The sequence below is a fragment of the Homo sapiens genome, chromosome 12, assembly GCF_000001405.40.
Source record: "Homo sapiens chromosome 12, GRCh38.p14 Primary Assembly".
Taxonomy (NCBI): Eukaryota; Metazoa; Chordata; class Mammalia; order Primates; family Hominidae; genus Homo; species Homo sapiens.
Genome location: NC_000012.12, coordinates 1,387,697 through 1,407,781, shown reverse-complemented (window position 1 = coordinate 1,407,781; position 20,085 = coordinate 1,387,697). Strand labels below are relative to the sequence as shown.

Genomic DNA, 20,085 nt, shown 5'->3' with positions numbered 1-20,085 from the left:
TGAGGATCCAGTAATTAGGCAGCCTCTGCAAGCCAGGAAGAACCTTCACTAGGAACTGAATCAAACACTACCTTGATTTCTCCAAACTGTGAGAAAATAAATTTCTGTTTGATTAAGCTATCCAGTTAATGGCATTTTATTATGGCAGCTTGGGCTAAGACTGGCAATTAAATTGATACAGAAATTTTTGGGGAAGAGGCAATATCCCCAAATCAAGCACTTCATGAACTGTCTTTTTAAAAAAATAAAAAATAAAATAAAGAGACAGGGTCTCACTATGTTGCCCAGGCTTGTCTCAAGCTCCTGGCCTCAAGCCATCCTCTGGCCTCAGTTTCCCGAGCAGCTGGGACTACAGGTGCACGCCACCATGCTTAATTTTAAAATTTTCTTTGTAGAGACAGGGTCTCAATAAAAAAATCAATTGAACAACTATTACAATTTACTACAGAGTTCAGTGAGGTGTTCAGACAGAAGTGCTCTCTCTCTCTCATATATATATATATAAATAGCTTTTCTTTATACCATCAATAAACAATTCGAGTCTTAAAAATAAGTTAAAAGTTCTGAAATCCTTCTCCTCAACCCTAAGCCAGAAAAGGACTATAATCCCATTGTCTTTTCTCCATCTTTATCAAAAAGGAAGACTGGATTAGTGATTCTGTGTGAGTGGTTAATTTAGGCCTTGAATAAATGAATAATATATTGAACATTTTAGAAAAATTAACTCTGCAGAGTAAGCAGCTTAGAAAATGCCAGGGTACATGATGCATAAAATCAAACAGCAATATGTTACACTAGTAAAATATTGTTAAAACTTGAAGTTTTAAAGCATTAAAAATAAACTTGCTAATACTGTATGATTTAAAAATACTCACTAAAGATAATTTGGGTTTTCTTTGTTATATTTTAGAGAGAGTCTCATTCTGTCACCCAGGCTGTACAGTACAGTGGCATCATCACTGCTCACTGCAACCTCAGACTCCTGGGCTCAAGTGATCCTCCCAACTCAGCCTCCTGAGTAGCTGGGACTATAGGTAGGCACCACCACACCCAGCTAATTAAAAAATTTTCTTTTGTAGAGACAGGGTCTCACTATGTTGTCTAGGGTGGTCTTGAACTCCTGGCATTATAGATAATTTAAAAAATAAAGTACAAACAAAAAAGAGAAAAGAAAGAAAAATCATCTATAATTCCTCTATCAGTGATTGTCACTCTTAATATTTAGGTGTATCCATTTAGTCCCCTCCCTGTGAACATAAAAAGTGGCATGCTCTTCTGATTTATTCTACTTTTTCTCTATTTCAGCTACACTAGGATATTTTAAAAATTACTATATCTTATAGCATATTTTCATACCTGGTAGAATATGTCCACCAATTCTACTCTGTCAAAATTTGACAGGTTATTTTTAACACATTTTAGTTTCTAGATGAATTAAAAATAGTTTGTCTAGTTTCATAAAAAAAATTTACAGAGATATGTAATATGTCTGAGCAAGGGATTTAAAAGAGCCAAATTGCCTGAGTTTAAACTCTAGCTCTGTCTCTCACCAGCTGACTTCAGGCAAGCTATGTAAATGCTGTTGAGTCTCAGTTTCCTCACCTTTAAAATGGGGATAACAACAGTTTTCTCCTACATAAGACTGCTGTGAGGATTAACCTGTTGAATTAACACAAGGAGAGCACTTAAAAAGGTGTCTGGCGTAAAACTGACACCCAATACATTTTAGCTATCATCATTATCATGACCATTTTTTCATGTCATTAAATAGTATTCTAAAATACTGTTTTAAAAAATTACACATATATGTATACGTGTATATGTGTGTATATATACATATGTATATATATTTATTTGTTGGTTTTAGAAAGTTTATGTATTTTTTTTAGAAACTTTAGAAATGGGGTCTCACTATGTTGCCCAGGCTGGTCTTAAACTCCTGGCCTTAAGTGATCCCCCCGTCTTGGCTTCTCAGAGAGTTGGGATTACAGGCGTGAGCCACGGTGACCAGCCCAAAATCTACTTTTAACTGGCTACACAGCATTTGGCTGAATAGATATCCATTTATTTAATTTTTTTGAGATGGAGTCTTGCTCTGTCACCCAGACTGGAGTGCAATGGCGTGATCCTGGCTCACTGCAACCTCTGCCTCCTGGGTTCAAGTGATTCTCCTGCCTCAGCCTCCCGAGTAGCTGGGATTACAGGCGCCTGCCACCACGCCCGGCTATTTTTTGTATTTTTAACAGAGATGGGTTTCACTATGTTGGCCTTGCTGGTCTCGAACTCCTGACCTCATATAATCCGCCTGCTTTGGCCTCCCAAAGTGCTGGGATTACAGGCGTGAGCAACTGTGCCTGGTCCCCTGAATGGATATTTAGTGAGTCCCATACTGTTGAAGATTTAGGTTCTTTACATTTTCACCTAATAATGTAAGCACATTTTAAAGTCAATTCCTCCCTCCAGTACATAACGATAGAAAAAAAAAAAACCGATTAATAAATTATCTGTGAATCAAATTTCTCTTTTCTGGGAGGACCCCCAGAGACCTTTGCTATGGTCTGAATGTTTGTGTTCCCCCCAATTTTATATTATTTTATTTATATTTATTTATTTATTTATTTATTTATTTATTTATATTTTTTGAGCCGGAGTCTCGTTCTCTTGCCCAGGCTGGAATGCAGTGGCGAGATCTCAGCTCGCTGCAACTTTTGCCTCCTGGGCTCAAGCAATTCTCTTGCCTCAGACTCCCAAGTAGCTCGGATTAGAGGCACACACCACCACGCTGGCTATTTTTTTTGTATTTTTAGTAGAGACAGGGTTTTGCTATGCTGGCCTGGCTGGTCTCAAACTCCTGACCCCAAGTGATCAGCCTGCCTCAGCCTCCCAAAGTGCTGGGATTACAGGCATGAGCCACTGCGCCCGGCTCTCCCCACATTTAGATGTTGAAACTTAACCTTTGATTTGGTGGTATTATGAAATGGGCCTTTTGGAGATGATTAGGTCAGAGGGTGGAACCCTCATGAATGAGATTAGCATCCCTGTAAAAAAGGCCTGAGGGTACTATGCAATATACCCAGGGAACAAACCTGTGTATGCATCCCCCGAATCTAAAATAAAAGTTGAAAATAAAAAGAAAATAACGAGGAACAAGGTTCTATGGCCAAAGTTTGTACTTTGATTTGGGAGATGTAAATATCTAGTTCTATCACTGGTAGGAAACTGAACTCCTAAAGAGGACAGTGTCTCACTCAAAAGAGAAAATATGAAAATAATGTTTTTCTTCTGTTTTTGCTCTCCCAGCACACTTTGCTTGTGAGACCAACTATCGATTTTTTCATATAGAACTGTTATCTCCATTATCAAACTGGTGGCAAATAACATACTTTTTTTTTTTTTTGCAAACAGTAGTTGTTCAAAGGATTATTGCAAATGAATGAATAAGTAAATGGATGAGTAAATAAATGAATGAATAAATAAATGGATGAGTAAATAAATAAATGTATCCATTATACTTGGAAAAAGGCCCGAGGGAGCCCGTTTGCCCTTCTGCAGTGTGAAGATGCAGTGAAGCAGCATTATCTACGAAGCCGAGAGCAAGCCCTCATCAGACACCGAATCTGCTGCTGCCTTGATCTTGCACTTCTGGTCTCCAAAATGGTGAGCAATAAATTTCTATTGTTTATAAATTACTCAGTCTGAGTTATTTTGTTATAGCAGTCTGAATGGACTAAGACAATCTTGAAAAGATGTAGGCTAATTTTTCTTATGGCATGTGGTATTTCATGACAAAGTCTTCTGCAAAGCAGCTCTCAGAAAAAAGGAAAATAGAAGAAAGGAAAGAGGCATATACAGAAAGTGAGCGAAACATCTGTATCATGTCATTCAATTGGTTAAGAAACCTTTCCATGTTGACTTTAACAGGAATGTGGGTGAAAGTAGACTTGGCTAGTTATTTTCTTAGAACATGAGACAATCTTTAATATCTGATATCTAGCATAAGTTTAAAAACTTAAAAAGAAATCCTAATAAAGTACACACAAATCCATTTTCAAGGCAGAACGCATTTAAAGTACTTCTTAGGAGTGAGTACGTATGCCTGCCTGAAAAAAACTGATCCAAGTGGACAGATAAGACCAAAGATTCCTTATTTGATCCACGTCAGAGAATGAAAAAAACAGTTGTAAGAACTTACTTCTCCATTTCCAAAAAGACACGAAGATGATCAAAGTTTAGTGTTCCTAGGTCTAGTATGAAGAAACTTGGTGTGAAGTCTGTTCCCTGCATAGTTATGATGTTGAGCACTAAATATCTGACAGCTCACAGAGCATTAGATGTTACACAGATCATATAAATGACTCTGTGCTCTTAAGGGGCTCTCATAGTATGCTCTTCTCAAGATAAGACCAAAAAGCAAAAGGAGTAATTCCTTCATGTTTTACTGACATGAAAGATATTTTATATCCAAATGTTTTTCCTCTTGAACCGTGCCAGGTGCATGTGCAGGGAGATGAAACCCCTGGTCCCAACGACATAAAGAATAACGTTGTCTGAAGGAAGGAAGGGGGAAAAAAAAGGAAGAAGGGAAGAAGGAAGAAACTTGCTGAAATAGACTTCTTTGCTATCAATGTATATCTCCAGGTATACATACCCTCCCAGAGGAAAAAGGAGTTAGTTGTCTATTCTGTTAATTTTTTCTTCTACGACAAAAATGTCAATGTCCAAAATGTTAAAATAACTTGTTACAGAAACTACATTTCATAGAAGAATACATAAGCTAAGAGACAGGATAGGTTATCCAAACGCAGCTATTAAAAGAAAAAGTTTAAATTCTAATTAGATTTGTGTTTTAGTATTGATAAAAAAAATCTGAGAGTTCAGTTGCAGGTTCTATTAACCAGAATAAAAGCAGACTAATTAATTCTTTAGTAATAGAAGTCTGAAGGGACATCAGATTAAGTCACTGTTAAAATTATTATAATATCTGGTCTTTTCTTCATGAACAATCTGTCTCACTATGTATTTCACATCTAATTAAGTCATTAAATCCTCTCTAAGAGCTAGCTTTTAGTTTCACTGATCTTCTCTTACAGCTTGTTTTCTATTTCATTTAATTTGTTTTTATTTTCTTTGTTCTTTTGTGTGTGTGTGTGTGTGTGTGTGTGTGTGTTGGGGGTTACACAGATATTCTTTTTCTATTTCTTGATTTGGATGCTTAGCTCATTACTGTTCTTTCTTTTTTTCTTTCTCTTTCTTTTTTTTGAGACAGTCTCTCTCTCTGTCACCCAGGCTGGAGTGCAGTGGTGTGATCTCGGCTCACTACAACCTCCGGGTTCAAGCGATTCTCCTTTCTCAGCCTCCTGAGTAGCTGAGATTACAGATGCCCGCCACCATGCCCAGCTAACTTTTGTATTTTTAGTAGAGACGGGGTTTCATCATGTTGGCCAGGCTGGTTTTGAACTCCTGACCTCAAGTGATCCACCTGCCTTGGCCTCCCAAAGTGCTGGGATTACGGCGTGAGCCACCGTGCCCAGCCTTTTCATTTTCAATTTTATATATGTGTTAAGAGTATAAATTTTCCTCCAAGAACTGCTTTAGCAGCATCTCACAAATTTTGATATAAAGTGTTTTTCCCTGTTCTAAATATTTTGCAATTTCTCTTTTTTACAATATTTGCAATTTCCTTATTTTCTAATTTGCAAAATCTGTAATTTCCAGTTTTTTAAATGTATACTTTCCTATTTTGCAATATTGGTCCTTCTGAATTTCCCCTATGGTCTTTCTCAAAACTCCTATCAGATGAATGTACCTTCTCAGTCTGTTTTCCATGTCTCCTAATCTCTCTTTGATATTTTCAATTTTGTTTTATCCTTCTGCACTGCATTTTGGATAATTTCGGCAGAATCTTCAAGTTCATTAATTCTCCTTTCATATACGTTAACTTGCCACTAAGTTTTTAATTGAATAACTAGATTTATTGATTATTTGGTAAATCTACGTGTACTTTTAAAAATACTCTTTTTTTTTTTTTTTTTTACCGCCCTCCCTTCAAAAATAGTCAATTTCCAAGCCAACATTTACTGAATACTTACTAAGTGCCAAGTATTCTGAGAGCTTTAGGTAATTTAATCCTCATAGCAACAATATGAAGTTGGTACAATTTGCATGTCAATTTTATTGAGGTACAGAGAGCCTAAATAACTTAGCGACATTCATATGATGAATAAGTCACAGGGCTAGAGCTCTAATACAAACAGTCTAGCTTCAGAGCCTGTTCTCCTTTTAAAACTAAAATAATTATATTTTATATGGAGAATTTCCAAACATACACCAGAGGAAAGAACAGAAAAAACCCATACATCCATGTCCTCCTTCAGAAACGATTCTACTGCTCTACCTGCTTCCTTTATCCTCCCTCCCCTTTATTTGCTACAGCATTTCTTCTTCTACTACTATGACTACTGCTACTATTAGTGCTACTTCTATTACTGCTTCTTCAATTTTTGAGAGAACTGTAAATTCACATGGTGTTTTAAAAAATACAAAAATAGGGCTGGGCGCGGTGGCTCACGCCTGTAATCCCAGCACTTTGGAAGGCTGAGACGGGCGGATCACAAGGTCAGGAGATGGAGACCATCCTGGCTAACACGTGAAACCCCGTCTCTACTAAAAATACAAAAAATTAGCCGGGCGCAGCGGTGGGCGTCTGTAGTCCCAGCTACTCGGGAGGCTGAGGCAGGAGAATGGCGTGAACCCGGGAGGTGGAGCTTGCAGTGAGCCCAGATCACGCCACTGCACTCCAGCCTGGGCGATAGAGCAAGACTCCGTCACAAAAAAAAAAAAAAAAAAAAAAAAAAAAAAAAAAAAATACAAAAATAGCCAAAACAATATTGAATGAGAAGAATAAAGTTAGGAAGACTCATACTTTCTGATTTCAGATCCTACAGTAAATAGTAGGTTTACCTACAGTGTGTTATCAGCATAAAGATGGACAAAGAAATCAATGAAACAAAATTGAGAGTCCAGAAACAAATCATCATTTTTTTATGGTCAACTGATTTCCAGTAAGGGTACCAAGACAATCTAATGGAGAAAGAATACTCTTTTCATCCCATGGTGTGGGACAAATAGAAATAGACATGCAAAGAAAATGATGTCAAACTCATTAAGTCTCAGTCTCAGAACATATAAAAGAATAAACTCAAAATGGGCCAAAGAGCTAAATGGAAGAGCTAAAACTATAAAACTCTTAGAACAAAACATAAGAGTAAATCTTTGAGGCCTGGGTTAGGCAGTGATTTCTTGGATAATATACCCAAAGAGCGAAAGCGGCAAAAGAAAAAAAAATAAATCGGAGCACATCAAAATTTATAAAATTTTATGCTGTAAACAGTATCAACAAGAAAGTGAAAAGAGAACGACAGGATGGGAGAACATATTTATAAATCATATATATGATAAAGGACTTGTGTCTAGAACTCTTACAACTCAATAATAAAAATACAAATACCCCAATTAAAAATGAGCAAGGGATTTGAATCTTTTCAATCAACAAAGAAGATTCACAAATAGGCAGTAAGCACAAGAAAAGATGTGCAACACCAATAGGGAAATGCGTATCAAAGCCACAGTGATCTACAGGAACAACGGAGAAGCAATACAATATAAAACAAAACAAACAAAACCCCATAATGAGATACCACATCACATCCACCAGGGTGGCTATTAAAAGTCAATAACAAGTGTTGGTGAGAATGTGTAGGGACGGTCATATATTGCTGGTGGGATTGTAGAGTGGTAAGGTCTCTTTGCAAAACATTTTGGTAGTTCCTTAAAATGGCAAACATACAATTACCATATGACTTAGCAATTCCAATCCTAGGTATATACTCAAGATAACTGAAAACGTGTTTCCATGCAAAAAAGCACCCACAAATGTTCACGGCATCATTATTTATTATAGTCAAAAAAGAGGAACAACCCAAATATCCAACAACTTATGAATGGATACATAAAATCTGGCATATCCATATAATGAGCTATTAGCCATAAAAAGGAATGAAGTACTGATACATGCTACAAGTATCAATGAACCTTGAAAACATGATGCCAAGTTAAAGAAGTCCTGCAAAAGGCAACATAGTATATTATTTCACTTATATGAAATCTCCAGAATAGGCAAATCTATATATAGAGAAAGTAGATCAGTGGTTGCCAGGCCTGGGGGAAAGGGACAATGGCTACATTTAACAATTTGAGCAGCAAAATCAATAATGCTTTCAATTTGTGAAAATGTATTTAATATATAAAAAGCGATGACACTGAAATAATACTAGAAAAAGATACTTTAAAAAATAGGGTATTGTAGTGATGGTTACACATTTCTGTGATTTACTAAACAATATGGAATGGCATATTTTAAACGGGTAAATTGCATGGGATGTGAATCATATCTCAATAAAGGTATATAAAATAAGCCAATGTGCAGCCATGTAAGTAAATAATGCTTTTGCTCTTAAAAAATATTAAGAGAGGGCAGGCGTGATGGCTCACACGTGTAATCCCAGCACTTTGGAATGCTGAGGTGGGAGGACTGCTTGAGCCTATAAGTTTGAGACCAGCCTGGGCAACATAACCAGACCCTGTATCTACAAAAAAATAAAAAAAAATTGCTGGGCATGATGTCACATGCCTGTGTGTAGTCCCAGGTACTTTGGAGGCTGAGGTGGGAGGATTGCTTGAGCCCAGAAGGTCAAGGCTGCCTTGGGTCATGATCGCACCATTGCTCTCCAGCCTGGTTGACAGAGTGAGACCTTGTTTCAACAAAAAAAAAAAAAAAAAAAAAAAAAAAAAAGTAGGAGAAAAGAAAATAAACTCATTTGTCAGCACTGAAGTTTACTAGGGAACTCATTACATAAACAAATGAGTAAATGAATAGATGTGTGCAAGGACAAAGCGTCCCTGCCCTCTGGAGGATACAGCAACAAGGTACCATCTTAAAAGTCAAAAGCGGCCCTTACCAGACAACCAAACCTGCTGGTGCCTTGATCTTAGACTTCCCAGTTCCAGAACTGTGAAAAAATAAATTTCTGTTCTTTATAATCTACCTACCTACCGACTTTGTTATAGCAGCATACCATACACAGACTAAGTGGGAAACCACAATCCGGCTGTGGGGTGTTTATTATTTATCATTTCTTCTAGTCTGGTTCAGTCAGAGATAGGAAATAAATATTTTTTTAAAAGGGAGAAAATTATTGGTTAACAGTAATGTTTTAAATTCAGATTTAAGATTACAGATCTCAGTCTTGAAGACTGGGTTTACTAAACTACTTTGATTTTATACTTTATATTTTTTTCTCTTATGCTGAAAAATTTTGGTTCCTAACAATAACATAATTACTTGTTATTTGTTTTCTCTAACAATATAATGCTTTTAAAATTCAAAACCAATACAATTACTATCAATATGCCTTCAGGATGAACTCTAAAATCTATTTGGGCTGGGCACGGTGGCTCACGTCTACAATTCCAGCACTTTGGGAGGCTGAGGAGGGAGGATCACTTGAGCCCAGGAGTTTGAGACCAGCCTGGGCAACATGGTGAAACCCCATCTCTACAAAAAATACAAAAACTAGCCAGACACGGTGGCATGTGCCCGCAGTCCCAGCTACTTGGGAGGCTGAGGTGGGAGGATCGATTGAGCCTGGGAGGTTGAGGCTGCAGTGAGTGGTGACTGTGCCCCTGCGCTCCAGCCTGGGAGAGAGTGAGACCACTAAAAAAAACTTCGCATTTTTGTTCTTTTACTTGGAGTTTATCCTACTGAGATGTACAGAGAAAAATCTGTATTATAAAGTTAGCTGAAATAATTATTTGCTCAATGTGAATGTCAACAATTTAATATATAATTAGATTCATTTGTTTCTGTTTGTTTTTAAATTTCAAGGACTGCTTTTTTCCTTTTTTCAGATCTAATTTTATTTTTGATTATGTAATACATTCATTTGATTCTAGAGTCAAAACTATATAACTAGGTATAATCACAGAAGGCTTGCTTCCACCCCTGTCTCCTCTATCCTGTTCCCTCCTTTTTAGAGGTAACTTTTTTGGGTAAATTTTTGATTTGTCTTTCAATTGTTTCTTCTTGCAATTATTAGCAATCATATACTCATATAATTGCACATGTTCCCCCTTTTCTTACATAAAAAGTAATATGTTAAATACATTATTCTGCATCTTGCTTTTTCATTTAACAGTATGTTCTGGGAATCGCTCCATATCAATAGAGATCTTTCTCATCCCTTTCTACAGCTGCACAGTATTCCACTCTGATGGATATACTATAATTGACAACAAATATCCCACTGTGGCACAACTGGGTTATTTTGAATCTGTTGCTATTATAAATATTATAGCAATGAATTTCCTTGTGTATATGTTATTTTGTATTTTTGAAGATGTGTCTGTGGGACCAATTTCTAGAAGTAAAGCTTCTGGGTCACAAAGTCAACGCACAGATAAGCAATGTTACTACATATTGCCAAACTGCCTCTATAAGAGGTCTACATTTTGCATTCCCACCAGGAGAGTATCAGAGTTCCCAATGTGCACAGCCTGCTTAATTGAGTGTGTTGTTAAATTCTCGATTTTGGTCACAAAGCACCTCAGCTTGCCATTATCTTACTATGAATGGGTAAGGACCATGTACATTTCTTTCTTTGTGATCTTCAGGTAGGAACTTCCCAGACAAGTAGTGACATAAATTTTTAGTCTAAACCTGGGGAAGGTACAGGCTTGATAACTTTGGTTTCTTAGAGCTGACTCTGGGCTCCTTCCCAGAGTCAGGGCAGAGAAAAGCTTCTTTGTCATCTGTCACTGGTAGGCGTTTGACTGAACGAGTCTTGCTTTTCTGCACAGCGAGCCTCTAATGGACCCATCTTCAGCAGAGGTTCGGTTCCAACTCCCCACCTCTTGTGAGCTCAATGCCTCACCTCCATTCTCTGTATAGGCATTTTGTAAACCCAAGTCCTTCTAGTCATAACTACGTCTGCTAGCCCCTGGGCAGCTGCTGCATAGGCTCACACACCTCATCTTTATCTTTCAGCCCCCTCTTTGATTCTGACACCATTCTCTCACATGAGCTCAACCACACATGACAAATTTTTAGAGGTGGTAAAAGCTTATGCAGCTTCTTGAGGTTTGGAACAAAAGGCTTTCCGCGCTATCTGAAACAGATTCTAATCATCTGTTTACATATCTTTTCTTCCAATAGATTTGAGTTTATGAGGGCTGCGACAGAGTCTCATTCATCTTTCTATCAACTCAGTACCTAGTAAAATTGCCAGCTTAGATAAAATCCTTTATATGTTTGTTGAATTCAAGAATCAATTTTCCATGATTGGTGCAAAAAAATGATAGGTTTGTAGCTCCCACCTTTCCTACGATTAAGGACGACATATATTTTTTGGCAATGAGTCTAACATTTTGAATGCTTTTTCTATAAAAATTCCTTTATTAAATAATTCATTTTCCTCTTTGTATTAAACAAAAATAGATATATAGTTACCAATCAGAATTTAAAACCCAGTGTTACCACAGTGAGTTATCTCAGTCAAAAGCAAAGAAAATAGACATCTCAACTAGCACAGTTTTTTCTCAGATAAAAAGACAATTTCTGTTCCTTACACTAGTTTCACAAAAGAACTCTAGAATCCAGGGACTCCAGTTTACACATATTTATAAAGTTTTCTCCTTCATTTCCTTCCACGCAAATAGATTTAATATGAAAAGGAAAATTGTTGATTATGGATATTCACTTATTTACTTTAGGACTCAGTGATTTTTTTTTTTAAGACTCCATGTAGTTTTTCTTCTTATCTCAGGGTATTCTTGGGCACATCACCATTTATGGAATTAAGCTCACAAGACATCTGTTCTTTCAACATATTTCCCATGAAAACTACTTTTTTCCCCCTCTTGGTAGAAAGCAAATAAAAAAAATTTTTTTTGGTCTATCTGCTCGTTCTTAAGAAACTGTTCTCTTCCATCTCATCATGACCGTTTTTGTAATCCTTAGAAACGCTTGCATGGGATTCCTGGCTTCTATAACCCAGACACATAACCCAGCTGGGTGGACTTACAAACATAGCTTATAGTTTTCCCTGAGCTGAAGATATCCCTTCTTAGCTGCCAGAATGAGTATGTTCATCTTAATGGTTAATTCCAATTACCATGTATATTTAGCACTTTCCCATATGCTGTGCAGACTTTAACTTCGAACTCTGGAGAAGAGCAGCCTATATTTTCTCTCTTCAAACATATATTAACACAAGGATAAAAACACATTCAACATTTTAAAACTGAAAAAAAAAAAAAAACTACAAAATTTCTATTCCACTCCTAATTTTTGAAAGATTTCCTGTTTTCTGGCAAGGCCATGGTATATAATTATGGTACATTCTGGTGAAAAAGTAACAGTCAGATCTAAAAAGCCATTCCTAAAAGTTGGTCATGAACTTAAGTTCCAGGAGTGAAATACCTTTTGGGCCAATTTGCCTATAATGGCCCAGTGCAGTACCTAAAATGAAACTGTTCAAAAACAAAGAGTGGTTGAGCCTTTGCTCCTGGTCACTGCCCCACTTTGGAGTACAGATCTCACATCCTTGCAATAAACCTAATGCAATCCAATTCTAGTTTTAATGTCATAGGATCATTTCTCCCAGCTGTATCTGTTCTCAAAGAACAGAATGTTTAAAGGGAATTATTAGCTGGATTCAGTGAGACTCAACACCATATCTAAAGAAAAGAAGAAAATGCAGGCAAGTGCATTCTGTTATTCTAAAAATCAGTGAACAATGGCCAGGATCCAAGAACATTTACCACAGTTTGTCTGTAATTTAGGTTATCTGAGTGGCTGAGTGTATTAGTCTGCTCTCACACTGCTGTAAAGAACTACCCGAGACTGGGTAAATTTATGAAGAAAATTGGTTCAATTGACTCAGTCCCTCAGGCTTCACAGGAAACATGACTGGAAGGCCTCAGGAAACTTACAATCATGGCGGAAGGTGAAAGGGAAGCAAGCACCTTTTCTACATGGTGGCAGGAGAGAGTGAGAGCACAGGTGAGGGGGGAAGTATCGCACACTTTTAAACCATCAGATCTCAAGAGAACTCACTCACTATCATGAGAACAACAGGGAGGAATGCTGCCCCCATCCAATCACCTCTCATCAGGCCCCTTCTTCAACACTGTGAATAACAATCAACATGAGATTTGGTTGGGGACACAAAGCCAAACCATATCACTGAGTGTACAGTTGTATTTTACAGATACAGAGGCCACGAAAACAAGAAGTAATACTAAATTTCTTTTTTCTTTTTTTGTTTTTAGAGGAGTCTTGCTCTGTCACCCAGGCTAGAGTGCAGTGGCGCAATCTCGGCTCACTGCAAGCTCCGCCTCCCAGGTTCACACCATTCTCCTGCCTCAGCCTCCCCAGTAGCTGGGACTACAGGAGCCCGCCACCACGCCTGGCTAATTTTTTGTATTTTTAGTAGAGATGGGGTTTCACCGTGTTAGCCAGGATGGTCTCGATCTCCTGACCTCGTGATCTGCCCGCCTTGGCCTCCCAAAGTGCTGGGATTACAGGTGTGAGCCACTGTGCCCGGCCTAAAAAGTTTTTTTTTAAAGTATGATCACTTCCTTACTAAATATACAGAAATTAAATTGCTTAATGCTTTGTGGTTTTTTTTTTGTTTTTTTTTTTTTTTTTTGAGACGGAGTCTCACTCTGTCACCCAGGCTGGAGTGCAGTGGCGAAATCTCAGCTCACTGCAACCTCCGCCTCCCGGGTTCACGCCATTCTCCTGCCTCAGCCTCCGGAGTAGCTGGGACTACAGGCGCCCGCCACCACACTTGGCTAATTTTTTTGTCGTTTTAGTAGAGACGGGGTTTCACCGTGGTCTCAATCTCCTGACCTCGTGATCTGCCCGCCCCGGCCTCCCAAAGTGCTGGGATTACAGGCATGAGCCACCATGCCTGGCAATGCTTTTTATAATCACATAAATACAGCATATTTTCTCCTGCTTGAAGAACAGCTAAGCAAGCAGAGAAAGTGATCTTCAAGAATCCAAGCACTTTACACACACACACACACACACACACACACACACACACACACACGTGTGTTCTCTCTAAAGGAAAAAAAAAAAAGAACTTTAGATCACAAGAATAAAAGTTCTTTTTGATATTTAAATTGAGACAGGGTCTCCTCTGTCGCCCAGGCTGGAGTGCAGTAGCACAATCATAGCTCACTGCAGCCTTGACCACCTGGGCTCAAGCGATCTTCCCATCTCAGCTTCCTAAGGCCTGGGACTACAGATGTGCACCACCACGCCCAGCTAATTTTTAAAATTTTTGTTGTGTAGAGATGAGGTTTCCCCACGTTGCTCAGGCTCGTCACTAACTCCTGGGCTCAAGTGATCCTCTTGCCTTTCAGTTTCCCAAAGTGTTGGGATTACAGGCGTAAGCCACCACACCCAGCCAAAGTTCTTAAAGCTAGATGTTCTGAGGGAATTTTATCTTTTCTTTTTACAAAATCATGGTCCATACATGGTAAGAAAAGAATATAACTGAGTCAAAACATAAACCAACTATACACCTGTGTGTACATACAGTGAAGTATCTTTAAATAAACCCAGAGGATATAAAGGCATTTTTAGATTCTTACTGAACCATTCAGATTGAAAGCAAATGATATAAGGCCAAACTCTCCAATACCATTTTTTTCTCCTATACTCTGACTATTCATTATAAAAGGATTTCTCTGTATATATGTATCTGTACAAACATACGTGGTTACATTGTTAAAATTTTCCCACAGCTACTATTGCACTCTTGATTTTCTCTATTCTCTAAAGTTTCTTTTTTGTACAACTGAGCTAAATGGCTTTCAGTCTTTTCTGTAGAAGAAAAAAACAGAAAACCACCATTTATTAAAATCAGGCTTTTCTAAAAAAAGTTGTTAATTATAGAAAAGTATCTTAAATTATCTATCTCTTCATAGTTGTTGAAATATTTCCACTTATAATTTTATAAATCCAAATATTTGAAAAACTTTGATTTCCAGAAATATACAAGTATCAGGTATAGATTGATTCTGATAAGAAATGAATACCCATTAAGGACCACTTAAAATGAATTGGAAGCTGAATAAAGTAATGATACTAGACATCAAAGCTCAACTGCTGCCAGAGGTATGGTTTTCCAAAACAGGTAAATATGTGACTTGGGCTAAGGGATGAGGTAGTAATGAAAATTATAACTTAAAAAAATCGGTTATCTGCATGTAAGCATTAAAATTCAACCTACTGATTACTTAGATATCTAAGCCCAGAACATACATTTTATTTTCCTAAAGAGAAAAGGTAGTTTGCTTAAGTCTTCCTTCAAAAATAAATCCCCACCCTTGAGGCCTGATCACTCATGAGATCTGATCAAATTCCTCATCTCCCACTATCAATATGTCATCTCTCTGGCTTGTCTTCAGCAACTCCTGTTGAGTAGGTCTGGCAAGAATCCCCCAGCCATGACGTTTCTTCTTAGTAATTTTCCATCACTGACCCCCACCCTGCTCCTTCGCTACACATCTCCATTGGTCCTTGTGTATTCTGAGTTGAGCCCAATCTCTGCCCTCTAACACAAATCCTCATCTCAGTGGTCCCCTGAATAGTCTGCCTTACTGTCTTTAAGAAGTATCAGGAATATTTTTTTTTCTCCAGCACACTAAGTATAAAAGTACAACAAGAACTATACACACAGACAAACACTAAAAAGGCAGAGAGAAGGCAGACCAGTCAGGAGTGCTGTGACCTGCAGCTCCCTGGATCTTTCTGCCTTATATATCCAGAGGTAGAGCTGAAGAAGCCAACAACCAGGAAATGCCAACAGGCACAGACCAAAAAAGCTTCAACAGGAGCCCACTCTCTCTAGCCAAAGAAGCCTCCAAAGGAAAGGGACAGCCTAGCAACATAGAAACCTGTGGGACAACAATCACTCTATTCCAAAGACCATGTGGTCCCACTGTCACTCATGTCAGTAAAGACCAAGCGGCGGGCCCCATGCTCACCAGGTTGTGAGGAGGTGCTTCAGCCTCTCCTTGCTCCACTGGAAGGTGTCAGGGAAAGCCGAGGGAGGCAGGGCTATAATCTCCAACCATCAGCAATGAAGTCTCCCCTCCACAGTGTCACTAGAGACTAGGTGAGGATTCTAGAATTCCACCTCCATGGAGCAGTAACAGCCGTGTCTCCTGGTGGAGTCGGACCTTCACTACCGCACAGCAGTAACCAGGCCCCCCTTCCTTCACCCCCACTGTGTTAGTGGAGGCCTTCCTACCCTAACCAGGCAGGGATACACCAGTGAAGCCTAGTGGGGACATGAATACCCATCTCCACCTAGGAGTAACAAGAAGCCTCCACCCCTTGAGTGTCAGCAGGGTCCAAGTGGGAGAAACTGGACTTCTACCTCCACTGGGCAATACTGAGGCAGCACCCCATTCTTCCCCTGCTGGAGTGGTGTCAAAGAAAACCAGCTAAAACAGAAGTCTAAGTAAGACCCAGAGTCATATCGCATAACATCCAACATGTCCAGGTTTCAACTGAGAATCACTCAACATCCCAAGAACCAGGAAGACCTCAAACTGAATGAATAAAAGACAATTATGATTAAAGGCACAGCAGCGAACTGAAACATTCATCTTGCCAATAGGATTAGGTAATTAGGCAGCAACTGATCAGCTACCATAGCTGGACTACTGCTGGGCACCAGAAGTCAGAAACAGCTCTTAGAAGACATGCCAACATAGCTGCTCCCTCCCTCATCAAACTTGTCAGTAAGGCTTCATTAATTTCCTCTCCATTCCTGGAGTGGGATGGTTGAATCAGAGTGCGACTGTGTGTGTCTGGAAGTGACCTCAACTTAATCAGACCTCAACTCAATCAACTAGGAAACTTCTAGGGCAGGGCAACCTATTCCAGTCCCAGTTCTTGTAGTAATTTGACCATAGTGAATCCACAACTGGGTTCATTTAATACTCCAAAATTCATGGTTTGACCACAGTTTTATTTTGGTGGTGACTAAACTAACCCCACCTCCGGGAGATGAACTGACAGTACCTTTGGGCATCCTAAGCATGCTCTGGTAAGTACTTTTGACTTTCCTTCCAGTTTTTAGGTTCAGAAAAATTCATTCTTTGTCCCATGTTTCACCTTCCCATTTAGATTAATAGTAGTAAATGTTAATTTTATTAACTCAGTAATGTATCAATTTAGTAATTTTTACTTTTATCAATTTGAAAAATTAAACTTTATTATTTTTTAAATGTATTGATTTATTAATCAATATTAATAGACAGTTGGTATTTACTGTATCCTTGATTTTTTTAAAATTTTAATTTATGTCACTGTGGGTTACACTGTCCTAGAAATATATGGAGCCATACTGGCTAGTGATCAGTTCTAAATATATCAAGAGACAGGTTTATCGCTAAACAGGCTGACTTATCCCTGTTTAGATGTTTGTTATAAGCTAATCACTAATCATAACATACCAGTGTTTACTACTATAATTAGAAGGAAATAATCTACCAAAGAAAATAAAAATTTTAATAAAATGTCTACTGGTATTTTGAAGTATAATTTACCACCCAAATATACAAAGGTCACTTCCAGACACACACAGCCCCGCTATGATTCAACCATCCCACCCCATGAGTGGAGAGGAAATTAATGAAGCCTTAACGACAAGTTTGATTAGTTCATGAAATAAGTGTGTAACTTAAAATGGAGAGATTAACCTACTCAAGGGTTTTTTTGTTGTTGTTTCTTTAAAGGCACTACATATTTTTGCTTAGAGACTGAATGCAAAACAGATTTTTTAATGTAAGGTGCTTTTAAGGAAAATAGGCAAAATACCCGGGAATTAATAGGATTTGGACAGAATTCTTTTCTTGAGGGAGTGCTTTTCAAGACTACATTTATGTTAACTCTTTGGAGTATTCATGTAGCATTATCCTCATTTCCAGGAACAGAGCTTTATTAATTTATATATCAAATCAGCAAAATGGCTATGGGGTATATAAGATCACAATCACCTGTGATATATTGTGCCATAAATGCTTAAAGCATTTTCAACACATGTAAGACATGAAAAAAAGGTCTTAAAAACCCTAGAACTGCATAAAAACTCCTAGCAATGCATATCCAGTAGAGCCAATTCTGAAATCCATTACCAACAGGCTTACAGAGGGCATATGCTCATTGAACTATAATCTGTAAGGATGAAAAGAATGGCCTGTGTTAATATTTTAGTATGTGTCAGAAAACAGTAAAAAGTAAGTATAACTTGCCTATATTCTCTCTTAAGCAAGCTATTCCATTTTCATGGGTTTAAGTAGTATTTCTGTTCTGATGACTCCAAAATTATCATTTCTAGCTCTCATCTTTACCTGGAGCATCTCCAGCCAACGGCTTTCTTGATGTATCTATTTGGGTATAAATAACCTCGAATTCAACTCTACTAAAAATAAGCATGTTATATTCTCTTCCATATATGGCCTTTCTTCTTGATTACTCATTTTAATTAGGGAGACCACTTCCACTTACTTGGCCAGACCAGACATCTGACTGGCCAGTGGTCTGTGGGTAGTGACCGTGGGACCCAAGCATAGAAGAAACAGCACGGGAACCACCAATTACTTGTTCCTTTGCCACAGTGACCAAGAAGGCCTCATACTGAAAGAGCTAAAGGAGGAAATTTTTAGTAGAATTGGATTACTGAATTGCTGCATGGAGGGCAGCTTCCTCATAGAGCCGGCAAGATCTGCGGTGGACTTTGTGTAACCAAGAAATAAGCGTTTACTGTGTTAAGGCACTAAGATTAGGTGGTGTTTGATACACAGAATGGCCTAGTGAATACATTACTCCATCTCAACTACCCTATATTCTTGTCCTCATCATTTCATATTTGGGCAACTGGAATAGATTCTTAAACAGTCTCCCTGTTTTTAATCTTACCATCTTCTTACTCCAGGCTCCCCTTAACTTCCTCCATTAGCTGCCAGAGTGATTGATTTATCTATAAAAGAAAACTCTGAAAACATCGGTGAGACTAAAAGCCTCTCCATGGCTTGGCATCCCCTACAGGAGCAAGTCCAAGCTACTCTCAGCATTGTCAATCCAGGGCTCTCCGTGACCTGTCTCCTCCTGGCTCTGGAGTCTCACGTCACTGCCCAGGAGTAGTGCAGACTTGGTAATAAGAAGCCTTCTATGGCTCCCTGATCTCAGGATGCTTCATGCTTCAGCAACCCTGGCCACAATGATCCCTCTGCCTAAGAGCTCCTTTTCTAGCTCATTCATGAGGCTAATTTTTTTTTTTTTTTTTTTTTTTGAGACAGAGTCTCTGTCACCCAGGCTGGAGTGCGGTGGCGCAATCTCAGTTCACTGCAAGCTCCGCCTCCCGGGTTCACACCATTCTCCTGCCTCAGCCTCTCCGAGTAGCTGGGACTACAGGTGCCCACCACCACGCCTGGCTAATTTTTTGTATTTTTAACAGAGACAGGGTTTCACCGTGGTCTCGATCTTCTGACCTCCTGATCCGCCCGCCTCGGCCTCCCAAAGTGCTGGGATTACAAGCGTGAGCCACCACGCCCGGCCGAGGCTAACTCTTATTAGTCTCTTAGTATTCTCCTTTCTCCAAAAATATTATTTGACCTCTTCTGCCCCGAGGCTGTCTTAAGAATGTCTTCTTTGCATATATCAACAAATGCTAGTGATTAAGCAGAGATAATGTATTCACCTTTCTCCTTCAAATAAAGGGGAACCCTAATACCTTCAGGGGCAACAAGCTTGTCATACATGAAGGACTCGAGAAGCTGTGTTACCTACTCCATGTGTTAGTTTCCTGGAGCTGCCGTAAGAAATGATCACAAACAACATAAACACAACATAAATTTACTCTCTCACAGTTCTAGCGGCCCCAAGTCCAAAAGTATGGTGTTGGCAGGGCCATGTTCCCTGTGGAGATGCTAAGGGAGCAT

The 20,085-nt window shown here is 38.7% G+C and overlaps 1 protein-coding gene across 54 annotated transcripts in view; it reads right to left on the bottom strand.

The window, feature by feature from the left end:
• ERC1 (ELKS/RAB6-interacting/CAST family member 1) overlaps window positions 1-20,085 on the bottom strand; it is a 505,975-nt gene that overhangs the window by 88,152 nt on the left and 397,738 nt on the right. The window lies entirely within an intron of this gene.